We start from the raw sequence: 26,491 nt of genomic DNA on the forward strand, positions 1-26,491 counted from the left end.
GCCTCCCACAGTGCTGGGATTAAGGCATGAGGCACTGCGTCTGGTTTAAGGGAATGTTGTAGCTTGCTTGATCTCCTACCCAGACCATTAAAACTTTCTCCAGGTCAGCAACAAGGCTGTTTTGTTTTATCATTCCTATGTTCTCCAAAGTGGTACTTTTACTTTCCTTTAAGAACTTTTTTTCCTTTGCATTCATAACTTGGCTAACTGGTACAAGAGGCCTAGCTTTTGGCCTATCTTTGCTTTCAATATGCCTTCCTCACTTAGTTTAATCATTTCTAGCTTTTTACTTAAAGTGAGAGACGGGGATTCTTTCTTTCACTTGAACACTTAGAGGCTACTGTTGGGTTACTAACAGGCCTAATTTCAATATTGTTGCATCTCAGGGGATAGGGAGGCCCAAAGAAAGGGAGAGAGACAGAGGAACTGCCAGTTGATGGAACAGTCAGAACACACATAACATTTATCGCTTAAGTTCTCCATCTTACATGGATGTGGTACATGACACCCCAAAACAATTACAATAGTTACAACAAAGACCACTGACCACAAATCATCATAACAGATATACTAATAATGAAAAAGTTTCAAATATTGAAAGAATTACCAAAATGTGATAAGAGCCATGAAGTGAGCATATGCTATTAGAAAAAATGGTGCCAATAGACTCACTCAACACAGGGTTACCACAAACCTTATATTAAAAAAAAAAATTGCACCAAATCATACTTCCATCAAGAGAGTATAAATGTATCCCCATTTCTTATGTGTACTCTTACCAACATTATTTCTAGTAATTTAAAAAGTTTATAAGTTTCATAGATGAAAACATGCACCTAGTAACTTTTTTTTTTTTTTTTGAGACAGGATTTCATTCCTTTCACTCAGGTGGGAGTGCAATAGCATGATCTTGGCTCACTATTACCTCTGCCTCCCAGGCTCAAGCAATTCTCCTGCCTTAGCCGCCTAAGGGGCTGGGACCACAGGTGTATGCCACAGTGCCGACTGATTTTTTGTAGAGACAGGGTTTCACCATGTTGCCCAGGCTGGTCTCAAACTCCCGGGCTCAAGTGATCCGCCCACCTCTGCCTCCGAAAGTGCTGGGATTACAGGCGTGATTACCCTGCCCGGCCCCCTACTAACTTTTATCATAAGCTTAATCTTAGAACAGAGTCCAAAAATTTTGACAGGAGTGGTGGTGGAAACTAGTAGAAAAAGGAGGAGAAGACCTAAGGCATGAGAACTGTCAGTATATTTTACAAAATAAAGTTAAAATATGATATTTGAAAGTTGAAGCCAGGCACGGCGGTTCACACCTGTTATCCCAGCACTTTGGGAGGCCGAGGCTGGTGGATCATTTGAGGCTAGGAGTTGGAGACTAGCCTGGCACATGATGAAACCCCATCTCTACTAAAAATACAAAAACTAGACAGGCGTGGTGGTGCATGCCTGTAGTCCCAGCTACTCAGGAGGCTGAGGCACAAGAATCACTTGAACCCGGGAGGCGGAGGTTGCAGTGAGCCAAGATTGCACCACTGCACTCCAGCCTGGGTGACAAAGCAATGCTCTGTCTCAAAAAAAAAAAAAAAAAGAAAGAAAGAAAAAGAAATGATGTTGAAAAATCCAGCCAATAACATTTTTGTCACAATAGGGGAACTCTCAAGTATAGGGTTTTGGAGAGTCAGATATTTCCTTTTCTCCCCGCCAGGGAGAAAGACCTAGAGGTTTCCCCCACTCCCTCTCACTGTCCAGAGCAATTACCACAATTTAGTTCAGCCTAAAGAGCATATGCTGTTGGAAAAACAGCAACAATAGACTTACTTGATGCAGGGATGCCATAAGCCTTAATTTTTTTTTTTTTTTTTGAGACAAAGTCTCACTCTGTTACCCAGCCTGGAGTGCAGTGGAGCGATCTCGGCTCACCGCAACCTCTGCCTCCCAGGTTCAAGCAATTCTCCTGCCTTATCCTCCAGAGTAGCTGGGATGACAGGTGCATATCACCATGCCTGGCTAATTTTTGTATTTTTTTTTTTTTAGCAGAAAGACAGGGTTTCACCATATTGGCCAGGCTGGTCTCAAACTCCCGACCTCATGATCCGCCTGCCTTGGCTTCCCAAAGTTTTGGGATTACAGGCATGAGCCACCGCGCCCAGCCAAACCTTAAATTTTTAAAAAAATCACACAGGAGGCTGGGTGCGGTGGCTCACGCCTGTAATCCCAGCACTTTGGGAGGCCGAGGTGAGCGGATCACCTGAGGTCGGGAGTTCCAGATCAGCCTGACCAACATGGAGAAACCTCGTCTCTACTAAAAATACAAAATTAGCCAGGCATGTTGGTGCATGCCTGTAATCCCAACTACTCCAGAGGCTGAGGCAGGAGAATTGCTTGAACCCAGGAGGTGGAGGCTGCAGTGAGCTGAGATGGCACCATTGCACGCCAGCCTGGGCAACAAGAGCGAAACTCCACCTCAAAAAAAAAAAAAAAGAAAGAAATCACACTGGATCTGTAGAAAGAACATCAGTTCTTTTCAGGCCATGTGAATTCAGGCACATCTACCACACCTGTCCTGTTTCCTCACTTGAGAAAGTGAGAATAACAACATCACACCAATGTCACTCACCTTGAATGTTTACTATGAATTAAATCAAGACAAGCATTTGGAATTATTTTGTGAATCTTAAGTGCTACACAGGAGTGTGGCAGAGGAATAAGCTTCTAAAGTCAGCAAGTAAGGTTAAAATTGAGTGCAATAAAAATTGCTTAGAAGTTCCTTAAATTGCCCATGAGCACAGTATGACAAACTTGAGACACATGAGAACAAAGACTCTCTGAGAGACAGCTGGGACAAACATTCAGTAACACTGCCAGCAAAATTGCTGCACTAGAACATTTTCATTTCCTCTTTCTGCCAAGTGCATAACTGAATCTAAGATGAAAGTATGATGCAACTTTGTTATTCTACAATTTGAAATTGGCAAGTTAAGAAACCTCTCTGGGCCTCTTTGTCTAATGGTGTAGCTCAGCTGGATCAGGGTTTCCTCCACGGTTTGTCTGACAAATACTGCCAGCTTACTATGCTTACTATGTTCCAGGCTGCTGTGTTGGACTGGGGGAGGGTAGACGCCAAGGAGACAATCTGATCGCAACAGGCTGGTGAGTGGTGAGGCAGTTTCAACCTCCATTTGAGGAATACAGGATTCTATCATCACCTTCCAGGGAATGCAGTGAATGTTTAGAAAAATTACAGAAAGTTACATATTTGGTTATGAATACCAGCTACAATGCTATATCTAATATGAATTAAGTTTCTTTGTTTCCTTTTTTCTGTTTATGTTGCTACTTTTTTTTTTTTTTTTGAGACAGTCTCACTCTGTTGCCCAGGCTGGAGTGCAGTGGAGGGATCTTGGTTTGCTGCAACTTCCGCCTCCCAGGTTCAAGCGATTCTCCTGCCTTAGCCTCCTGAGGAACTGGGATTACAGGCACCTGCCACCACGCCCAGCTAATTTTTGTATTTTCAGTAAGACGGGGGTTTCACGATGTTGGCCAGGCTGGTCTCGAACTGCTTACCTAAAGTGATCTGCCCGCCTCGGCCTCCCAAAATGCTGGGATTACAGGCGTGAGCCCCAGCACCCCGCCTACGTTGCTACTTTTTAATGTGGGGTCATTTTTTAAACCTGGCTTTTTAATTGAAAAAGTAATACAAACATATGGAAAAATTCAAACTGTACTAAAAAAGGTAGACAATGAGAAGCAAATCTTTCTTCTATTTCAGACTCCTCCTTCCCCCATTCCACACCATATCCCCTCAACCCTCCTTCTATTCAGACGTTACCACTGGGTCAATCCGTTGAAAGTTACAGCTAAGGTGATACCTGGGGTCCAAAAGCTAAATATGGACCTACGCTATCACCAGTCCCTTCCAGTTCTAAAACTAAGTCCAAGCCTTTTGCAGCACGAAAGAGATAGCCTCCTCTCATCTAAAGTTATGGCTGGTAAGGCTGAGACGAATGGAAATGGATTTCAAAGACATAGATTTAGAACTCCTGAAAGGCAGGAGACAGAACTCAATACTTTCATGGTGAGTGGTTTATTTACTGATTAAATAAACGCTCCCTTAGGGATGTAAGCTCCACACCGGCAGGAGCTTCATCACCAGCTCTCACTGCAGACCCCGGCATTAAAGGAGCTCACACGGTAAAAGCCCCTACCGCCCACCACAGCCACAGCGGCCGGCAGCCCAAAGTGGGAAACCGCGCCGGCCGTCACGTGACTCCAGCTCCCCCCGGCAACCGGCCCGCCCCCACCGAGACCCCGCCAATCCGGAAGGGAGGTCCAATTTGGCCAGGCCAGGGCGTGTTCCACCGGCCCAGTAGCCTTGCTGCTGCGTTATCCCTAGACTCGCCCCACTTGCCTCGGAGTCTCAGGCCGTTGCCTAGGTCCTCCCGGTAAAACCCTGGAGACTGCTAGGGAGAGGAGCAAGGGAGGGGCCAGCGCGCAGAAGTGCGGACGCAACCCGGCGGCCGCGGGCGAGGCTTATGCAGAGCTTCAAGAAACAGCTAGGGAGACCGCAGGAGTCTCCAGAGCGCGCGCGCGGGCCCTCCCCGGCCCGACCCACGCGGCGCGGCGTGGTGACGCCCGCGCGGCCTGAGGAAGGGGCGGGGTCGGGGCGGGCCTCCGCGCTCCTCCCGCCCTCTCTGTGTCCCTACTCTCCCTCCCCTTCCCTCCCCCACACTCGGCCCCGTCAGCTTGGGGGTGCCTTCGTCGCGCAGCCTTGCGTCGGCCCGGCCCGGCCAGGCCAGCGGGCAGATGCCCCGAGCTGCCGCCGCCGCCGCCGCCGACTCGGCCGGTGGCGGTGTGGGAGGTGGGCGACCAGCCCGGGGCCGCTGAGTGTGACGGACGCAACTGGGGGCGCCGGGGGCTCCGCACGGACCATGTATTTTCTGAGCGGCTGGCCCAAGAGGCTGCTGTGCCCTCTGGGGAGCCCGGCCGAGGCGCCTTTCCACGTTCAGTCCGACCCGCAGAGGGCTTTCTTCGCCGTGCTGGCCGCGGCCCGCCTCAGCATCTGGTACAGCCGAGTAAGTAGAGCCGCCCGCCGCCTTTCGCCGCTGCCTCCCCGGCCTCCCGGCGCCGTCCCACCCCCAACTTCCACCCAGAGCCTAGGACTCCTGCCCCTTCGTGCCAGACCCACCTGCCTTCGCAGTCCGCGTCCTCGTTCCACCGAATTGGCCGCAGGTACCCGCCGGCTGCAGGCACGTCCTCCAGCCGGCGGTCCGGGGTGGATGAAGTCGCTGCTGCCGAAAATCCCTGAGCCTCCCCGCGTTGGACCGACGGCCGCGGCGTGCAGACTCCGCACGCTCCCCGGCCGAGCCCAGACTTGTTCTTCTCTCCCTTCCCCCATTCCCCGAGGGACAAATTTGTTTAAACTTTCCACAATTAGAAATCCGGCCGCTGTGGTGCCCCAACCCTCCCTTACTTTAAAGGTCGCCGTTTTGGAGTTAGGGAAAGCCTCTTGGGCTTTACCCAGCGCCAGACTTTACAGGCCTGTAATAACTTATTTCTACAAACTACAGCCTGAATTCTTTATTCTTCACTAAAGGTCTGGTTATTTAACTCCCCTCTTTAACCCCAACATCCCTTCCCCACTTTCGAGTTGGTCTTTTTCTTTGCTGCTGCTCTTGGACTCTTCGGAATAGGGGGTTAAAGGAGCGGAAGTAGAACTCAAATCTGTCCGCGGAACTCCCAGTTATAACACCTGGAAATAATAAGGCTTGGGAGGAGCATGGAACTGAATTCTGTTTTTGCTTTAAGTCCTGGTTATCTTTTTCTTTCTTGTATTGAATTACTGAGTAGATATGAGAAAGAAATAAGTGGTGGATGGGATACTCCCTACTCTCTGCAAACACTGCTATAACTTTGTCTATGAGAACGACAGAGTTCAGAGTATAAAAATGCTTTTTTTCCTCCCCAAAGAAGGCAGTACCAATCGATGTCAGAGTGAAGTTTTTCTCCTTTCCAAGTTAATTTGACCATGTGGGGATAGGTTGTGATCTTGTCCTTATTAGGTGTTCGTGAAATACTGGTTTTAGTTTGTTAAAATCCCCAAATCTTTGTGTGTTGCTGTTCCATTACCTGTAATGCCCTTGACAGTCCTCACCCACTTCCCTGGTAATACTGGTGATGGGATTTAGTGACGGGTAATTCTGGTGTCTCCTTTGACTGTCATAGTTGGGCTGTAAATCAGACTATTTGCCATCAAGTTTTGGCTGATCTAATTTTCAAATGCAAATCAGAACAAAACAAACTTATAAAATCGTAATACCAACAATATGACTATTTTGTCTAGTGCCTGATTGTATTTTGAATATATATGTATGTATGTGTGTGTGTATATATATAAACATATGTGTAAATATATATAAAGTATCATCTGGTTCCTAAATGAGATATTCGTTTACAATGTATATGCCAGTTGAATAATTTTTAATTTGTTTAGGTGTATATAACTCAACTTTAAAGCACATGCAGAAAAAAATAGAACTTGAATTTAAATTGTCTTTTGAATTTAATACATAATTCCTTTTGAATGTAACAAATTTAGACTTTCGTCTAAAATTTAACTTTTCTTACCTTTAAAAAGGCAGACCTAACTTAATTTTAAATAAAAGTAAACAATATGACCTATGAATTGACCAGAAGCCTGTAAACCACTTTATTCCCCCATAAGAGAAGCATAAACATATGCTTTAATTTAGGGACATTGTGAATATTCTTAAGCATGTCTATTGTTTGGTTTTGGAGTTACATACGACATCTAGAAATCCAAGGCAGTTCTGGAATTTAAACTATTCATACTCTTCTTTCAAATTCCCACCTCACATGCAACTTCCTTTTTCCACAGAAGTCCAGGGACCCCTACTATTAAGTTCTGTTGTGCAAAAGTTAGGCTGTAGGGAACCCATGGGTTTAGAGGTCTGGAGTGAAATGAAATGCAGGAATACCTTAGAGGAGGCTGTATAGTACTGTAGTATGAGTGGTTAACCTTGGTCTCTGGGCACCAGCTTTGTTGTCACTGAAAAAAATCAGATATTCACGAGGTCAAGAGATCGAGACCATCCTGGCCAACATGGTGAAATCCCGTCTCTACTAAAAATACAAAAAAATAGCTGGGCGTGGTGGTGCACGCCTATAGCCCCAGCTACTCGGGAGGCTGAGGCAGGAGAATCGCTTGAACCCAAGAGGCAGAGGTTGCAGTGAGCCAAGATCCCACCACTGCACTCCAGCCTGGCGACAGAGCAAGACTCTGTCTCAAAAAAAAAAAAAAAAAAAAATCAAATATTGAACCAAGTGATTATAAGGTGTATGATTACATGCCTAGGTGAGTGGGATACATATGCTAGACTCCAGCTTCCAATCTTCTCTTCCTGGGATATGCCCTTTCTTACTCTGTATGAAAGTTTTCATTTTGATTTTCTAATTTGTAAACTTCCTGAAAGTATGTAAGTTAATTAGGTTAACAAACTTCATTTAAAAGTGAAAATGCCTTTAGGTAAATTAAAGGGCTATCAGTTATACTTCCATAATTTAGAGTGAATTGGTTTAAAAAGTTCTCATGGAGCTGCTAAAAGCTTTGATTTTTGAGAGGCTGTAGATACAAGTAGTTTTATAATAATATGTGAAGATCTACAGGATTTTACAGAGTTGAAGTCTTACAGCTGCTTGAGGGCATTTGAAGGCAGGGAGACATGCTCGTAGAGATGATAAAACAAGATTTGCTTACCTGAAATTTTGTTAGGGCTCACTTAGTAAATCAGGCTCTCTTAGGAGTGATATATTTTAAAAAGAGACAACTAGCCTTGTGGAAGGGACAGTCGTTTAGTAGTCTAAGCTGGTTGTTTCAATGTTCAAAAGAATTGTGGAAATTGTATGTGTACAGTGATAATTCATAAGACTGAATCTCTATTAAAATCTCTAACTGTACATTATATGGGTCTTCTAATGAACTTTTATGTACTACTTATACCTACTGTCCTCTATTCTAAGTAGGTATTCGGAATTCCACTGTTTAGACTCATATCTCTTCAGAATTATTTCCTACCCCAAATTTGAGAAATACAGTATAGTGTTGTTTATGAACAAAAGAGCCTCTAGATAGTTACTTAGCTTTTTTATATTGGAGCCCCAATATTATATTTTGGAGCCCCCCAAATGGTGTTAAAAAAAGGCTCAGTATGTGTAGGCTAGATTGGGGTGGTAGAGGTAGAACTTGACTGGGGGCAGTTGGTACATTTCTGCTAAGGTTATTGTAAAAGGACTAGTTTCAGCTTTGAGGATGAAACTGTTGCATAAGGTAGGTTATGATTTATGATTGACGTAGGTGTAGTGTGAGATGAATTACATTTTGTACTGTACTGAGGGCCCAGAATTATTCCTTTAATATACTAACTGTGACTATGAAAGTCTATATATGTGAACATCAGAATGGTATCTTTGAATTTAGCCATTCTAAATTAGATGTATAGACATTCTCGTTTTTCAGGTCACCGACTTTAAACATTTAAATTAGCTTCAGAAGTATTTTTGAACATCAACTGTAAAAGACAGATGTGTATAAAAGGGATGAAGAGACATGTTATATGTTAGTGTGTTAGATGTTAGTGTGTTAATATAAATCTTGTGAGATATCACTGTTGTAGGTAGCTAATAAAAAGCTGAAATGGGCAAATAATTACTAGGCTTATAAAATAAATTATATGTCGTTTAGTAATCCTGAGCAAAAACTTAGTTCCCATTGGTATGTGCTAATCATGGAAAAAAACAATGATATGTCAAAAGAACCAAGCTTTGGATCAGGTATGTGATTAACTGTGTTGACCTCAGGAAGACCATTTTATTTGTATTTTCCCAGCATTCCCATTTCTCACCCTTTTAACTCTATTACTTTCTCCAGAGAGCCTTCTTTATAAATTCACTGCTCTGAAGTCTTCTAGGGTTCACTGTTGATGAAAGAATGGAGTTCAAACTCCTTAGTTTGATATCACAGACACTCCCTTCTTGGAATGCTCTCTTGCCTCATTTCTGCCTGTCAGAGTATTATCTATCCTTTAACTGCTGTTGAAATCCTTTCTTTATGAGTCATTCTTTACCTACCGTAACCATAAGTGTTCATTTTTCTGATGAACTACTGCTTCCCCACTACTGCCAGCTTTGTTGAGGTATAATTGACAAATAAAAATTGTATATATTTAAGGTGTGCTGTGCGATACTTAGATCTACCCTGTGAGTTGATAATCACAATCAGTCTAATTAACAGATCCACCATCTCACACAGCTCCCTCTTTTTTTGTATGTGGGATGAGAACACTTAAGACCTACTCTCTTAGCAAATTTCAAGTATACAATATATGTTAATTATGGAAATAAATGTCATTATTAACGATAGTTACTGGGCCATGCATTAGGTCCCCAGAACGTATTCATCTTATACCTGAAAATTTGTACCTTTGACTGAAATACTCCCATTTCACCCACCTCCCAGCCCCTGGTAATCATCGTTCTATTCTCTGTTCCTATGAATTTGACGTCTTTATATTCCATATATGAGATCATGAAGTTGTTTTTTGTCTTGCTTACTTAGTATACTGTCCTTAAGTTTTGTCCATGTTGTTGCAGATGGCAGGATTTCCTTGTTTTTTAAAGGCTGAATAATATTTTATGTGTGTATGTGTGTGTGTTACATTTTCTTTATCCATTCATCTATTGACAGACACTTAGGTTGTTTCTGTATCTTGGCTACTTTGAATAATGCTGCAATGAATATGAAAGTGCAGATATCTCTTTGAGATACTGATTTCAATTCCTTTGGATATATACCTAGAAGTAGGATTGTTGGATCATGTGGTAGTCCTGTTTTTAGTTTGAGGAACTTCTGTTTTCCATCATGACTGTACCATTTTGCAGTCCCGTCAATAGTGTACAGGGAGGGGATCCCTTTTCTCCACGTCTTTGCCGACCTTGTTATGATTTAACTTCTTGATAATAGATATCCTAACAGGTGTGAGGTATCTTATGGTTTTGATTTGCATCTCCCTGATGATTAGTGTATTGAGCACCTATTGGCCATTGGCTGTTTTTTGGTAAAACATCTGTTCAGATCTCTTGTCCATTTTTAAATTAGGTTATCTGTTTTGTTTTTTTCTCGGTACTGAGTTGTATGAGTTCCTTACATATCTTGAATATTAGCCCCCTTTTAGATGTATGGTTTGCAGATATTTTCTCCTATTCCATAGGTTGCTTTTTTATCTTGTTGATTGTTTTCTTTACTGTACAATAACTTAATTTCATGTAATCCTACTTGTTTATTTTTGCTTTTGTCACCTGTGCTTTCCATGTCATCCAAAATACCATCGTGAAAACAGATGTCAGGGTGTTTTTCCCCTGTTTTCTTCTAGGATTTGCATGGTTTCAGGTTTTACATTTAAGTCTTTGATCCTTCTTCTTATTTTAATTTTTGTGGGTACATAGTAGATCTGTGTATTTGTGGGGTATATGGGATATTTTGATACAGGACTATAGTCACCCTGTTGTACTATCAAATACTAGATTTTATTCATCATCATCACCATTATTATTTTGAGACAGGGTCTCACTCTGTCACTCTGGAGTACAGAGTCATGATCATGGCTTACTGCAGCCTCGACCTCTTGGGCTCAAGCAATTCTCCCACCTTAGCATCCTGAGTAGCTGGGAGTACAGATGCATGCCACCATGCCTAGTTAATTTTTTGAAGAGATGTGGTCTTGCTGTGTTGCCCAGGCCGGTCTCAGACTCCTGGACACAAGTGATCTGCCCATCTCAGCCTCCTAAAGTGCTAGGATTACAAGCATGGGCCACCACACCCAGTCCTTATTCATTTTTTCTATTTTTTGTACCCATTAACCATCCTTCCTTCCCCCTCCGTCTTTAATCCTTCTTGAGTTGATAGTGTAAGATAAGGGTCCAGTTTCCTTCCTTAGCATGTGGATATCCAGTTTTTCTAACACTATGGTGTTGAAAAGTCAGTGTTGCAAGATGTGTTTTCTCCATTCTTAGCACTTTGTGAAAGATTGACTATATATGCATGCGTGGTTTTATTTCTGGACTCCATTCTGTTGCATTGGTCTATGTATCTCTTTTTATGTCAGTACCATACTATTTTGATTACTATAGCTTTGTAATATACTTTGAAATCAGGTTGATATGGTTTGGCTCTATTTCCCCACCCAAATTTCATCTCTAATCGTAATCCTCATAATCCCCATGTATGGAGGGCAGGACCTGGTAGGGGGTCATTAGATCATAGCGGGAGTTTTCCTCATGCTGTTCTTGTGATAGTAAGTTCTCACGAGATCTGATGGTTTTATAAGTGTTTGACTGTTCCTTCTACACGCTCTGTCTCTCTCTTGCCTGCCAGCATGTAACAAGTGCCTGCTTCCCCTTCTGCCATGATTGTAAGTTTCCTGAGGCCTCACCAGCCATTATGGAACTGAATCTATTCAACCTTTCTTTATAAATTACCAAATCTCAGGGAAGTTTGTTATAGCAGTGTGAAAATGGACTAACACACAGGTAATGTGACACTTCCAGCTTTGTTGTTCTTTCTCAAGATGGCCTTGGCTATTCATGGGCTATTGTGGTTTTGTATAAATTTTAGGATTGTTTTTCTGTTTATGTGAAAATATCATTGAAATTCTGATAGAGATTGCATTGAATCCATAGATTGGTTTGGATAGTAGGGACATTTTAACAATATTAATTCTTCCAATCCATGAACATAAGATATCCAGCCATTTATTTGTACCTTCTTCAGTTTATTTCATCAGCATTTTATGGTGTTTAGTGGCGGTTAAATGTATTCTAAGTATTTAGTTTTTTGGAGCTACCATAAATGGTATTGTTTTCTTTTTCTTTTTCTGTTTTTTTTAGACAAAGTCTCGCTCTTGTCACCGAGGCTGGAGTGCAATGGAGCGATCTCAACTCACTGCAGCCTCTGCCTCCTGGGTTCAAGCAATTCTCCTGCCCCAGCCTCCTGAGTAGCTGGGATTACAGGTGCCTGCCACCATACCCGGCTAATTTTTGTATTTTTAGTAGAGACAGGGTTTCACCATGTTGGCCAGGCTGGTATCGATTCCTGACCTCAGTTGATCTGCCTGCCTCAGCCTCCCAAAGTGCTGGGATTATAGGTGTGAGCCACCACTCCCAGCCATGTTTTCTTAATTTATTTTTTAGATACTCATTGTTCTTGTGTAGAAACACAACTTATTCTTGTATATTGATTTTATATCTTGCAACTTTACTAAATTCATTTCTTAGTTCTAAATTTTTTGGTGGTTTTTAGGTTTTTCTAAATATAAGATTATGTCATCTTCAGAGACAATTTTGCTTTTTCCTTTGAACTACTGCTTTATATCGTAAGTTTTGCACTTATGCTTTATTTCTCCAGCTAGATTATAAGTTTCTGGAGCACAGAAACTATCTTAATTTGTATTATCTATAGTGCCTTGTACAAGGAAGATGTTTAATAAACATTTTTAATATTAATGAATTTAAGGTATTTGTCATACGTGTGGCACAGCAATTTTTTTTTAAGTTTTAGTGTTTTGATTTTTGTGAGAACACAGTAGGTATATATTTATGATTTTTTTGTTTGTTTGTTTGTTTTTGAGACAGGGTTTCACTTCAGTTGCCCAGGTTGGAGTGCAGTGGCACAATCTCAGCTCACTGCAATCTCTGCCTACTGGGCTCAAGCAGCTGTCCTGCTTCAGCCTCCCAAGTAGCTGGGACTACAGGTGTGCCCCACTGCACTTGGCTAATTTTTTTTTTTCTGTAATTTTTTATAGAGATGGGATTTCACCATGTTGCCCACGCTGGTCTTGAACTCCTGAGCTCAAGTGATCCATCCACCTCGGGCTCCCAAAGTGCTGGGATTACAGGCATGAGCCACTATACCCAGCCATGAGATATTTTGATACTAGCGTGCAATTTGTAACAATCAGTTCATGAAAAATAGGGTATTCATCCCCTCAAGCATTTAACCTTCATGTTCCAAACAATCCATATGTACTCATAGTTATTTTAAAATATACAATTAAATTATTTTGACTGTAGTCACCCTGTTGTGCTATCAAATACTAGGTCATACTCATTCTCTTTTTTTGTACCCATTAGCCGTTCCCACCTCCCTTCCTATCCCCCCAGTTACCTTTCTCAGCCTCTGGTAATCATCTTTCCACTCTTTATCACCATTAGTTCAATTGTTTTGATTTGTAGATCCCACAAATAAGTGAGAACATGCGATGTTTGTCTCTCTATGCCTTGCTTATTGCACTTAACATAATGACCTCTAGTTCCATCCATGTTGTTGTAAATGACCGGATCTCATTTTTTTTGTAACTGAATAGTACTCCATTATGTGCAAGTACCATGTTTTCTTTATCCATCCATCTGTTGATGGACACTTCCAGTACTGTGTTGAATAACAATAGTGAAGGTGGGCATCTTTGTCGTGTTCCAGATCTTAGAGGAAAGGCTTTCGGTTTTTACATACTCAGTATGATACTAGCTATGGGTCTGTTATATATGGCTTTTATTATGTTGAGGTATGTTCCTTCTATACCCAGTTTTTTTAGGGTTTTTATGAAGGGATGTTGAATTTTTATGAAATGCTTTTTCAGCATCAGTTGAAATGATCATATAGTTTTGGTCCTTCATTCTGTTGATATGATGTATCACATTGATTGATTTGCATATGTTGAACCATCCTTGCATCCCTGGAATAAATACCACTTGTTCATGATGAATGATCTTTTTAATATATTGTTGAATCTCATTAGCTTGTATTTTGTTGAGGGTTTTCACATCAGTGTTCATCAGAAATATTGACCTGTAGTTTTCTTTATTGATGTGTCTTTGTCTGGGTTTGGTATGAGGGTAATCCTGGCCTCATAGAATGAGTTTAGAAGTACTCCCTCCTCCTGTATTTTTCAGAACAGTTTCAGTAGTATTGGTGTTCTTCTTTAAATGTTTGTTGGAATTGAGCAGTGAAACCACTAGGTCTTGGGCTTTTCTTTACTGGGAGACTTTTTATTACAGGTTCAATCTCACTGTTGTTAGTCTGTTCAGGTTTTGAATTTCTTCATGATTCAATCTTGGTAGGTTGTATGTGCTAGGGATTTATCCATTTCCTCTAGATTTTCCAGTTTATTGGCATATAGTTGCTCATAGTAGTTTGTGATGATCGTTTGAATTTTTGCGGTATCAATTGTAATATCTCCTTTCTTATCTCTGATTTTATTTATTTTGGTTTTCTCTTTTAAGGTTTGTCAATTTTGTTTATCTTTTCTAAAAAGCAACTTTATGTTTCTTTGGTCTTTTGCATTATTTTCTTCATTTCAAGTTAATTTATTTCTGCTCCATCTTTATTATTTCTGTTACTAATTTTGGGTTGTTTGCTCTTGCTTTTCTTGTTGTTTAAGAGGCATCATTAGGTTATTTATTTGAAGTTTTTCTTCTTGTTTTCTGAGACAGGGTCTCTCTTTATTCTCCAGGCTAGAGTGCAGTGGTGCAATCTCGTCTCACTGTAGCCTCAACCTCCCAAGTTCATGTGATCCTCCCACCTCAGCCCCCTAAATAGTTGGGACTACAGTTGCATGCCACCGTGCCCAGCTAATTTTTGTAGAGACAGGATTTCACCATGTTTCCCAGGCTGTTCTCAAATTCCTGAGCTCAAGCAATCTGCCCACCTCGGCTCCCAAAGTGCTAGGATTCAGGCATGAGCCACTATACCCGGCCATTTTTCTTCTTTTATGGTGTAATACTTATAGCTATAAATTTCTCTGTTAATACTGCTTTTGCTGTCTCCCATAACTTTTGATATGTTGTGTTTCCATTATCATTTGTTTCAATAAAGTTTTCAGTTTGCTTCTTAATTTCTGCACTGACCCATTGGTCATTCAGGAACATATTGTTTAATTTCCAAGTGTTTATATGATTTCCAGAATTGTTCTTATTGATTTCTAGTTTAACTCTATTATGAGAGAAGATGCTTGATATTATTTCAGTTTTTTTGAATATTTTAAGATTTGTGACCTATCATATGAGCAATCCTTAAGTGATCCATGTACTGAGGGAAAGAATGTGTGTTCTGCACCCTTTGGATGAAATGTTCTATAAATATCTGTTAGGTCCATTTGTTGTATAGTGCAGATTAAGTCCGATGTTTCTTTGTTGAGTTTCTGTCTGGGAGTTGGGTTCAGTGCTGAAAGTGAGGTGTTGAAGTCTCCAGCTATCATATTGAGGTCTAGCTCTCTCTTTAGCCCTAATAATGTTTGCTTTGTATATCTGGGTGTGTTGGGTGCATATGTACATATGATTGTTATATTCTATTGCTGGATTGACTCTTTTCTCAGTATATAATGACATTCTTTGTCTCACAATTTTTGTCTTGAAATCTATTTTGTCAGTATTTATATAATTACTCCTGCTCTTTTGGTTTCCATTGGCATGTAATATCTTTTTCATCCCCTTATTTTCAGTCTATGCATACCTTTGTATGTGAAGTGTGTTTCTTGTGGGCAACAGATCAGTGGATCTTGTTTTTTCATCCATTCACCCACTCTCTGTCTTTTGATTGGAGAGTTTGGTCCATTTGTATTCAATGCTATTATTGATAAGTAGGGACTTCTGCCATTTTGATATATATTTTCTGGTTGTTTTGTGGTCTTCGTTCTTTCTTTACTTGCTGTGTTCCTTTTAGTGAAGGTGGTTTTCTCTGGTGCTATGATTTAATTTCTTGCTTTTTATGTTTTGTGTATCTGTTGTGTTTTTTGATTTGAGTTTACTGTGAGACTTGCAAGTACTGTCTTATAACCCATTATTTTAAACTCACGACAACTTAACACTGATTGTATAAGCAGTCAAACACACACAAAGTGTTTAAAGTGTAATTAAAAGTGTAATTAAAACTCTACACTTTAACTTCATCCCTCTACACTTTAACTTCATCCCTCTGCTTTTTAACTTTTTTGTTTGTTGTTTCTCCTTATGTCTTACTGTACTATGTCTTGAAAAGTTGTCGTTATTCTTTATTGGTTCGTTTCATCAGTCTTTCTACTTAAGAGTAGTTTACACACTACAATAACACTTATAAAATAAGAATCATTGTTAGGTTATTTATTTGAAGTTACAGAATAAGAGTGTAATTGTGCTGTGTAAACTACTCAAGTAGAAGGAGTTATACTCTTCTGTGTTTTTCTGTGTGCTTACTATTACCAGCGAGTTGTACCTTCTGATGGTTTCTTCTTGGTCATTAAATACTCTTTTCTTTCAGATTGAACAACTCCCTTTAGCATTTCTTGAGGGCAGATCCAGTGTTGATGAACTCTCTCAGCATTTTTTGTCTGTGAAGGTCTTTGTTTCTCCTTCATGCTTGAAGGATATTTTCACTGGATATACTGTTCTAAGGTAAATGCTTTTGTTTGTTTTTTTTGTCAGCACTTTCAACATATTGTGCCACTCTCTCCTGGCCTGTAAGATTTTTACTGAAGAGTCTGCTGTCAGAGATATTGGAGCTCTATTGTATGTTATTTGTTTCTTTTCTCTTGCCGTTTTTAGGATCTTTCTTTATCCTTGATAAAGAAACTATCCTTTGAGAGTTTGTTTATAGATGCCATAAGGTAGTCTTCTTTTTTTTTTTTTTGGACGGGGTCTTGCTCTGTCACCCAGGCTGGAGTGCAGTGGTGCCATCTCAGCTCACTGCAAGCTCTGCCTCCTGGGTTCACGCCATTCTCCAGCCTCAGCCTCCTGAGTACCTGGGACTACAGGCGCCCACCACCACACCCGGCTAATTTTTTGTATTTTTAGTAGAGATGGGGTTTCACTGTGTTAGCCAGGATGGTCTCGATCTCCTGACCTCATGATCTGCCCGCCTCGGCCTCCCAAAGTGCTGGGATTACAGGCATGAGCCACCGCGCCCGGCCGCCATGAGGTACTCTTCTTTAGGTTAAATCTGCTTGGCGTTCTGTAACCTTCTCATACTTGAATGCAGATATCTTTCTCTAGGTTTGGGAAGTTCTCTCTTATCCCTTTGAATGAACTTTCTACTCCGGTCTCTTTCTCTACTTCCTCTTTAAGGCCAATACCTCTTATATTTGCCCTTTTCATGCTATTTTTTAGGCATGCTTCACTGTTTTCTATTCTTTTTTCTTTTGTGGTCTCCTCTGACTATATTGTCAAGTAGCCTGTCTCCAAGCCCACTAATTCTTTCTTCTGCTTGATCAATTCTGCTTTTCAGAGACTCTGATGCATTCTTCAGTTTGTTGGTTGCATTTTTCAACTTTAGAATTGCTGCTTGATTTTTAAAAATTTAAATTTCTTTGTTTAAAATGTGATAGAATTCTGAGGTCCTTCTCTGTGTTATCTTCAATTTCTTTGACTTTCCTCAACATAGCTATTTTGAATTCCTGCCTGAAAGGTCACATATCTATCTCTGTTTTTCCAGGATTGGTCCCTGCCTTACTTAGTTCATTTGGTGGGGTCATGTTTTCCTGGATGATCTTGATTTGATGCTTGTAGATGTTCATTGGTGTGTAGGCATCAAAGAGGTAGGTATTTATTGTAGTCTTTGCAGTCTGGGCTTGTTTGTATCTGTCCTTTTTGAGAAGTCTTTCCAGTTATTCGAAGGGACTTGGGCCCCAAGCCCAATAATGCTGAGGTTTTTGCAGACTCAGAGGTACTGCCTTGGTGGTCTTGGATAAAATCTGGAAGAATTATTTGGATTACCACGTAGAGACTCTTGTTCTTTTCTGTTACTTTCTTCCAAACAAATGGAGTCTCTCTCTGTGCTGAGTCTCCTGGAACTAGGGATGTGTTCATGCGTTGATGCAAGCACCCCTGTTGCCACCACCACTGAAACTAAGCTGGGTTAGACCTGAAGCCAGCAGAGCACTGGGTCTCATCCAAGGCCTGCTGTCACCACCACCTGGCTACCACCTATGTTCACTCAAGGCCCTAAGGCTCTACCATCAGCAGGTGGTGAAGCCAGCCAGGTTTATGTCCTTCCCTTCAGAGTGTCTCATTCCCCAAACCCCAGGCCAGTCCAGAAATGCTGTCTGGAAGCCAGGGATTAGAGTCAAAATTCTTAGCAATTTGTTTGATATTCTGTTCTGTTGTGGCTAAGCAGGCACTCAAACCGTAACACAAAATTCTTCCCACTTTTTCCCCTGTCCACAGGCAGAGGAGAATCTGCCTCTGTGGCCACCACTACCACAGGGCCATAGTGGGTTCTGCCTGGCCACTGCCGGGCAGTCATCTTCAGGTGTTTATGAATCATTAACATAATCCATATTATAGTTAAATATTTATTTGGAGTTTACTGTGGACTAGGTATTTTACATCATAGTAAGCAAAGTTTCCCAAATTTAAGTTCTTTTTATTTCTCATTCATGACTTTTGGCCTGTTCTCATACTACCTATTCATTGTAACTTTTAAACTTGAAAGTCTCTTTCAAAATAAATGAATTTATACTTTTACCATAAATGGAAATCTAGTACCATTTTTATGAATAGAAGATATTATGAAGGAATACAATAAAAACAATTTTATAAGTCTGGGCATGGTGGCTCACACCTGTAACCTCAGCACTTTTGGGGGCCTAGGTGGGAGGATCACTTGAGCCCAGGAGTTCAAGACCAGTCTGGACAGTATAGGGAGACCCCCATCTCTATAAAAAATAAAAATAAAAAAATCAGCTGGCCATGGTGGTGCATGCCTGTGGTCTCAGCTAATCTGGTGGCTGAGGTGGGAGGATTGTTTGAGCCTGGGATGTCTTGATTCATAAACACATGAAGATGACTAAAATCTCCTTTTAAATTTGTTTATACTGCTTTTTCTTCTATGGCTTTCTTTTTTTCATAGATCATGTCAATATAAACACATACTGAGAACCAGGAGTTTGAGTGATTCTATATGAATGACTGTATACTATTTAAATTTTGATGAACTACAGAGTAGTTTGAGCCTAGGAGGTTGAGGCTGCAGTGAGCCATGATTGCACTATGGCAACCCAGCCAGGATGACAGGGTGAAACCCTTTCTCAAAAAAAAAGTTATGAAAAATATGGTTTCCTGCCAAACTCATAATTACTCCTTTATTAAAAAGGGCAATTAGCCCTTTTTATGCAAGGTGCTTAAAAATAAACTAGCACCTCATTTAGATACTCTCCTTACGTAAATAAAAAAGATTGAAGAGGAGTTGAAAAAAGATTTTTTTCCTATGTGATTGTTTACTTCAGTATTTGTATGTCATCTAAAATGGTGATATAGGACCTGCATTAAAGTGTTCCACCTGTATTAGTTTGTTAGGCAATTTATTTAATCAGAAAAAATAAAATAAATTTACAATTTAAAAATATTTTGGAATTTACACCTGCCACAAAATGAGACAGTTTCTTCGTTCAGATTTCTTACTCATGAGCAGGCATCAATTGGTTGGAATCAGAGAGGTTTCTTACCTTTAAGTTACAATTGCTTTCCTTTGAGTTGCTGTCACAAATCTACTGTCCCCCAAGTAGTTTACCTTATTTCAACCATAAATCATACAAAAATTTACCTATGAAAATTTGGATATTATTGTAGATAATACTGTAGAATTTGCTATGGTTTAAATTTTTAAGAGCTTTGAGGTGCATAAAAATACATCTAAGTGTACATTGATTTTTAGTAAATTTATAGTGTTGTGCATCCATAATCACAGTCTAGTTTTAGAACATTTATATCAGCCTTAAAAAGTACTATGCCCATTTGTCATCAACCTCTTCTCCCATTCCAGCCTTAGAAAACCTTGGCCTACTTTTTGTCCATTTGATTTAGCTTTCCTAGAATTTTCATATCATTGGAATCATATGGTATATGGTCATTTGTGTTTGGTTTTTATTTAGCATAATGTTTTTGAGGTGCATCCAGGTCATAATATTTCTTTTTTCAAAATGTGTGTAAACTAAGGGATACAAGTGCAGTTTTTTTACAGGGACATATTGCACAGTGGTAAAGTCTGGGCTTTTAGTGTAATCATCAGCTAAAGAATGTGCATTGTACACATAAGTAACTTCTTATCCTTTATCCCCTTCTCATCCTTCTGAGTCTGGTATCTGTTATTCCACACTCTATGTCCATGTGGTAGTATTCCTTTTTGTTGCTGAATATTTTTCCATTATTTGCATATGCCGCATTTCTATCTCCATTCACCAGTTGACAGGTATTTGAGTCATTGTGAATAATACTCTCATTTTGAATGATTGTGAGTAATACTGCTGTAAACATTTGTATACATGTCTGTGTGTGGATAAATGTTACTCTTCTAGAGAGATACCTAGGAGTGCAACTACTAAGTCATATGGCAAGTTTAACTTATTGGTAAAGTGCAAAACTTTGTTCCAAAGTGACTGTAGCATTTTACAACCCCACCAATAATGTATGGAAGTTTCTGTTTCTCCACACCCGTTCTAGAGGGTTTGTAGTGGTGTCTTATTTGTGGCTTTAATTTGGTGTTTTTCTAATGACTAAAAAATGTTTGGCATGATTTCATTTGCTTATTAGCTATTTATATATCTTATTCCATTTATATATCTTATTAGCCATTTCGCTATACCTATGTAGTTAATTATCTATTCAAATCCTTTGTCCATTTAAAAAAAAAACAGTGATCTGATCTTGGGTCACTGCAGCCTTGAACTCTTGGGCTCAAGTGATCCTTCCACCCCAGCCTCCCTAGTAGCTGGGACTACAGATGCCCAACAGCATGCCTCACTTATTTAAAAATTTTGTAGAGACAGGGTCTCCATAAGTTGCCCAGGCTGGTCTTAAACTCCCATCGTCAGGCTATCCTCCGAAAGTGTTGGAATTACAAGTATTAGCCATGATGCCCAGACCATTTTTGTTTAAGTGGAATATTTCTCTTATTATTCAGTTGTAAGAGTTCTTTATATGTCTTGATACAAATTATTTAGCAGATATATACTTCGCAAAGTTCTGCAGCATTAAGTACATTCACATTATCATGTAACCATTACCACCATCAGTATCCAGAACTTTCATTTTCATTTTCCCAAACTGAAGCTTCGTACCCTGTAAATGGTAATTCCTGGTTTTCTCATCCCATCAGTCCCTGGAAACTACTATTGTATTTTCTGTCTTTATGAATTTGATTTGTGTGGGTACCTCAGACAAGTGGAACCACACACTATTTGTCTTTTTGTGATTGACTTATTGCACTCAGCATGTCTTAAGTTTTATCCATGCTGTAGCATGTACCAAAATTTCCTTCCTTCTTAAGGCTGAATGATACTCCATTGTATATGTACATACTGCATTTTGTTTTATTCATTCATCTGTTGATGGACACATGGGCTGCTTTTACCTCTTGGATATTGTGAATAATGCTGCTGTGAACATGGGTAGACAAATATCCAGATCCCTGCTTTACTTCTTTTGGGTACATACCCAGAAGTGGACCTGCTGTTTCATTTGGTTATTCTATAGGTTTTTTTTTTTTTTGAGAAATTTTGCTTTTTTTTTTAATGTTAAGAAATTGCCACATACTGTGTTTCCACAGTGTACATCATTTTACATTCTTACCAGCAATACAGTGGTTCCAGTTTCTTCACATCCTTGCTAGTACTTGTTTTCTGTTGTTTTGATGATTGCCATTCCATTGGGTCCAATGTGGTATGTCATGGTTTTGGTTTGCATTTTCCTAATGGTTATTAATGTCGAGCATCTTTTATGTACTTGTAAGTCATGTGTATGCCTTCTTTGAAAGTGTCCGTTGAAGTTCTTTGCCCATTGTTTTTCTTGGGTTATTTTTTGTTGAGTTGTAACGCTTCATGTATTCTGGGTATAATCCTTTATCAGATATGTGGTTTCTAATACAGTTATGCTCCATGTAATGGCAGTTTGAGATGTTCCTGTCAACAGACTGCATTATATGATGGTGGCCCTATAAAATTCTAATGGAGCTGAAAAATTCTTCTTGCCTAGTGACAATAGAAATTTTATATAGTGTAATGCATTACTTTTTCTATGTTTAGAAGTATTTAGATATAGAAATATTTACCATTATGGCACAATTGCTTATGTATTCAGTATAGTAATATGCTATATAGGCTTGTATCCTAGGAGCAATAGGGTATACCTTATAGCCAAGGTGTGTAGTAGGCCATAACGTCTAGGTTTGTGTTAAGTACCCACTGTGATGTTCACATGATGACAAAATTGCCTAGTGATGCATTTCTTGGAACTTATCCCCTCTTGTTAAAGTGACACGTGACTGTATTTTCTTCTGTTTCAAGGGTTACATTTTTACTCTCTTTGTAGTAGCCATTGATGCACAGCATTTTCAATTTTGATGAAGTCTGTCTTACCTATTTTTTTTTGTTGCCTGTGCTTTCAGTATCATATCCAAGAAATTGTTTTCAAATCCAAAGTCATGAAGTTTTTGGCTTGTGTTTTCTTCTAAGAGTTTTATAGGGTGAGGTCTTCTGTTTAGAGTTTTGATCACTTTGAGACAATTTTTGTATATAGTATAAGATAAGGGTCCAGCTTTATTTTTTTACATGTGGATATCCAGTTTTCCCAGCACTGTTTGTTGAAAAGACTTTCTTTCCTTTTCCCCTTTGAATGGTCTAGGTAGCCTTGTGGAAAATAATTTGACTATTTATGCAAGAGTGTATTTCTGGACTCTGTGTTTTATTCTGTTGGTCTATATGTGTATCCTTGTGCCAGTACGACAGTATTTTGATTGCTGTAGTCTTCTAGTAAGTTTTGATGTCAGGAAATGTGAGACGTCCAACTTTGTTATTTTCAAGTTTGTTTTGTCTATTCGAGGTCTCTTGGGAATCCATATGAATTTTAGGATGGATTTTTCTGTTTCTGCTAAAAATGCTGTTAGGATTTTGAAAGGACTTACATTGACTATGTAGATTGCTTTGGGTAGTATTGACATCTTAACAATATTAAATTTTCTAATCCATGAACAGAGGATATCTTTTCATTTATTTGTGTCTAATTTCTTTCAGTGATATTTTGCAGTTTTCACTGTAGAAGTCTTTTGCCTGCTTGGTTAGGTTTAGTCCTAAGTACTTTATTCTTTTTGATGTTACGGTTTGCTGATTTTTCTGTGTTGATTTTGTATTCTGCAGTTTTCCTGAATTCATTCATTCTAACAGGTTTGTTGTTGTTGTGGAATCTTTAGAGTCTTTACATATAAGATCATGTCATCTTCAAACATATAATTTTACTTATTCATTTCCAAGTTAGATTTATTTTATTTCATTTCCTTGCTGATTGCTCTGGCTAGGGCTTTAGGTATTACGTTGAATGGAAGTGGTAAGAATGGGCATCTTTGTCTTAATTCTGACCTTTGAGGAAAAGCTTTCCATCTTTTCACCATTGAGTTTGATGCTGGTTACAAGTTGTTGTTTTGTTTTTTGTTTTTGTTTGTTTGTTTTTTGTTTGTGTGTGTGGGGGTGGGTGGTGGTGGTGGTGGTGGTGGTGGTGGTGGTGGTGATGGTGGTGGTGGTGGTGGTAGTGGTAGTGGTTTTTTCTTGCTCTGTTGCCCAGGCCGGAGTGCAATGGTGTGATCTCGGCTTACTGCAACCGCCACCTCCCGAGTTCAAGCAATTCTTCTGCCTCAGCCTCCCAAGTAGCTGGGATTACAGGCGCCCGCCACCATACCCGACTAATTTCTTGTATTTTTAGTAGAGACAGGGTTTTGCCATGTTGTTCAGACTGGTCTCGAGCTCCTGACCTCAGGTGATCCACCTGTCTCGGCCTCCTGAAGTGCTGAGATTACAGCTGTGAGCCATCATGCCTAGCCAGGTATAGGTTTTTTATATATGGCCTTTTTATTATCTTGAGATAGTTTGCTTCTATTCATAGTTTTTTGAGTATTTTTAGCATGAAAGGATATTGAGTTTTATCAGATGTTTTTTCTGACTCAATTGAAATGATTATCTGTTGGTGGACACTTAGGTTGATTCCATATCTTTGCTAATGTTAACAGTGTGGCTATGAACTTGGGGGTGCAAATATCCCTTTGATGTATTTATTTTGTTTCTTTTGGATAAATACCTAACAGTGGGATTGCTGGATCATATGGTAGTTCTATTTTTACTTTTCGAGAAATCTTCATACTGTTTTTGGTAATGGCTGTACTAATTTATATTTCCACCACAGGAGTTCCCTTTTCTCTGCATTCTCATCAACATCTGTTATGTTTTCTTTTTAATAATTGCTATTCTAACTGGGTTAAGATGATATCTTGTGGTTTTGATTTTCATTTTCCTGATGATTAGTGATGTTGAGCCTCTTTTGATGTACCTGTTGGCCATCCATATGTCTTTTGAAAAAATGTTTATGTCTTTTGCCCACTTTTTAATGGGAATGTTTTGTTTTAACTGTTGAGTTGTTTGAGTTCCTTGTATATTCTGGTTTTTAGTTTCTTGTCAGATGCATAGTTTGCAACTATTGTCTACCATTCAAAAGGAAGGTTATTTCTTTACTCTGTTGGATTGTTTCCTTTGCTATGCACAAAACAAGTCTCAAAACATTTTAAAACTCTGGGAGGCTGAAGTGGGAGAATCATTTGAGCCAGGGAGGTAAAGGCTGCAATGAGCTATGATTGTGCCACTTCACTCCAGCCTGGCAACAGAGATAGACCCTATCTTAAAAAAGAAAAAAAAAATTAAACTCAAAACTATATCAAGTGTCTTCTTAGACCACAGTAGAATCCTCAAACTAGAAATTAATACCAAGAGGAACTTAGAAAACTGTCTAAATAAATGGTAATTACATAGAATACTCCTGAATGTCCATTGGTTCTTTTTCTGCTCCTTTGATCTTGTCTTTGCCTTCTGTAACACCAAAAATTCAAATAGATCACTTTATGGTGTCCCATATGTCATGTAGGCTTTGTTCATTCTTATTTATTCTTGTTTTGTTTTCTGAGTTATTTCAAAAATCTGAAATTCATTCTTCTGCTTGATATCATCCATTGCTGAAGCACTTGAATGTATTTTTTATTCCACTTAGTGAATTCTTCGGTTTGAGGATTTCTGTTTGGTTCCTTTTTTATGATATCTATCTTTTTGGTGAATTTTTCATTCATATCTTGAATTGTTTTTCTGATTTCTTTGTATTTTTGTGTTCTCTATCTCACTGAGTGTCTTTAGTATTATTTTGAATCCTGTTGCTGGCATTTCATAAATTTCTTTTTTATTAGAATCTGTTGCTGGGGAATTATTGTGTTCCTTTGGAGATGTCATAATTTCTTGTTTTTTTTTTTTCACATTACTTGTATACTTACAAGTTGATGTCTGTACCTCTGGTGTAACAGTTGCTTCTTCCAGTTTTTTAGATTGGCTTTCAGAGAGGTAGACTTTTTCCTGAAGATCTATCCGTGGTGTTGGTTGGGTAGGGCACCTTGTCTTTGATTCTGGGTGTGTGCAGTAGTGTATTTTTCATATGACCTTTTTAGCCATATATAGCATTAGTGGTGTCTGTGATTTCCTCAGTGGTTTAGGGTGCAATTGTTAGCAGAGGCTGAGGTGAAGTTCTCCTGGGCAGTGGGATGCTAGGTAGGCCAGTCCTTGGGCACCAGTGGTGGCAGCAGCAGACTGTGTGCCTGTCCTTCGGCCCCAGGGTACACAGGCATGGTGTTAGCAGGTTTAATTGGGTTGATTCTTAGGCCTCCATATGGCTTGCTTAGGTGCTGGTGGTTGCAGTGGATGACCAGGTGAGTGGGTAGGTCCTTGGATCCCTGGGCAGTGCATGTGGTATGGGCTATGGCAGTAGTTGTGATGGTAGCATCAGGCTGGGTGGGCTGACTCTCAGGCTTCCCTGTAGGAGTGCGTATGTGTGAGTGGCAGACAGGGTGAGGCAATCTCTATGCTCCAATCTCTATGCTTGGGCCCTTGGGGGTATGTGGTGCCAGGCCAGGTGGGCCTGTCTTCAGGCCCCCTGGTAGAGTGCTCAGGTAGCAACAGTGGATAGAGAGAGCCTTGCCTCAGGGCATGTGCATGTCCACTGTGGCCCTGCTACTAGAGGGGATAGGGTTGGTGTCGGTGTCAGTAGCCTCACACCAGAGGCTGGGGTGGGGCAGGTATGGTATGCTTTGCTCCAAGCAGTGTCAGGAACATTGACACTGGCATGCTGGGAGATTCTGTCCTCAGGACATGTTCAAGTGTGCTGCAGTCTTGCTGTTAGTGGAGATGGGGTTACTGTCAGTGGCAGCAACCCCAGGCTAGCAGGGTTTAGGCTCTCAGAAGTGTACGCTTTGGCTCTTTTTGTCCTTGTGATAGCCTCCCCAGTATACCCTCCCCAGTGCATTGCACTTGCCTGTTCTCCACAGTGTAGGATTTTATATATGCTTTAATACCAGGGACTCTGCCACTCTGCTGGGTCC

At 40.1% G+C, this 26,491-nt stretch overlaps 1 protein-coding gene and 1 long non-coding RNA gene across 12 annotated transcripts in view, besides 3 other annotated features; one reads left to right on the forward strand and one right to left on the reverse strand.

Annotated features, from left to right (window-relative positions):
- INCR1 (interferon stimulated noncoding RNA 1) overlaps positions 1-5,349 on the reverse strand; it is a 172,297-nt gene extending 166,948 nt beyond the window's left edge. For all 3 annotated transcript variants that reach the window (XR_007061406.1, XR_007061403.1, XR_007061404.1), the window contains exon 1: positions 5,189-5,349. This is a non-coding gene — a long non-coding RNA (interferon stimulated noncoding RNA 1). The remainder of the gene's footprint in view (positions 1-5,188) is intronic.
- Positions 2,919-3,138: an enhancer, noted in NCBI's record as "active region_28175". NCBI's record gives its function as "activates an Ori minimal core promoter by ATAC-STARR-seq in GM12878 lymphoblastoid cells {active_cell/tissue: GM12878}" and the evidence as "EXISTENCE:reporter gene assay evidence [ECO:0000049][PMID:35858748]".
- Positions 4,489-5,028: a silencer, noted in NCBI's record as "silent region_19754". NCBI's record gives its function as "represses an Ori minimal core promoter by ATAC-STARR-seq in GM12878 lymphoblastoid cells {active_cell/tissue: GM12878}" and the evidence as "EXISTENCE:reporter gene assay evidence [ECO:0000049][PMID:35858748]".
- RIC1 (RIC1 partner of RAB6A GEF complex) overlaps positions 4,729-26,491 on the forward strand; it is a 149,527-nt gene continuing 127,764 nt past the window's right edge. For all 9 annotated transcript variants that reach the window (XR_428426.4, XR_007061331.1, XR_007061330.1 and 6 more), the window contains exon 1: positions 4,729-5,075. Coding sequence is in view for 5 of the 9 variants with exons in the window: in NM_020829.4 (NP_065880.2) it covers positions 4,932-5,075 (144 nt within the window). In the remaining 4 variants the exon portion in view is untranslated. The remainder of the gene's footprint in view (positions 5,076-26,491) is intronic.
- Positions 5,049-5,549: an enhancer, noted in NCBI's record as "H3K27ac hESC enhancer chr9:5629427-5629927 (GRCh37/hg19 assembly coordinates)". NCBI's record gives its function as "activates a minimal SCP1, AML or CMV promoter by ChIP-STARR-seq in primed H9 embryonic stem cells {active_cell/tissue: H9 hESC(primed)}" and the evidence as "EXISTENCE:reporter gene assay evidence [ECO:0000049][PMID:30033119]".

The sequence above is a fragment of the Homo sapiens genome, chromosome 9 (assembly GCF_000001405.40).
Source record: "Homo sapiens chromosome 9, GRCh38.p14 Primary Assembly".
NCBI classification, from domain to species: domain Eukaryota; kingdom Metazoa; phylum Chordata; class Mammalia; order Primates; family Hominidae; genus Homo; species Homo sapiens.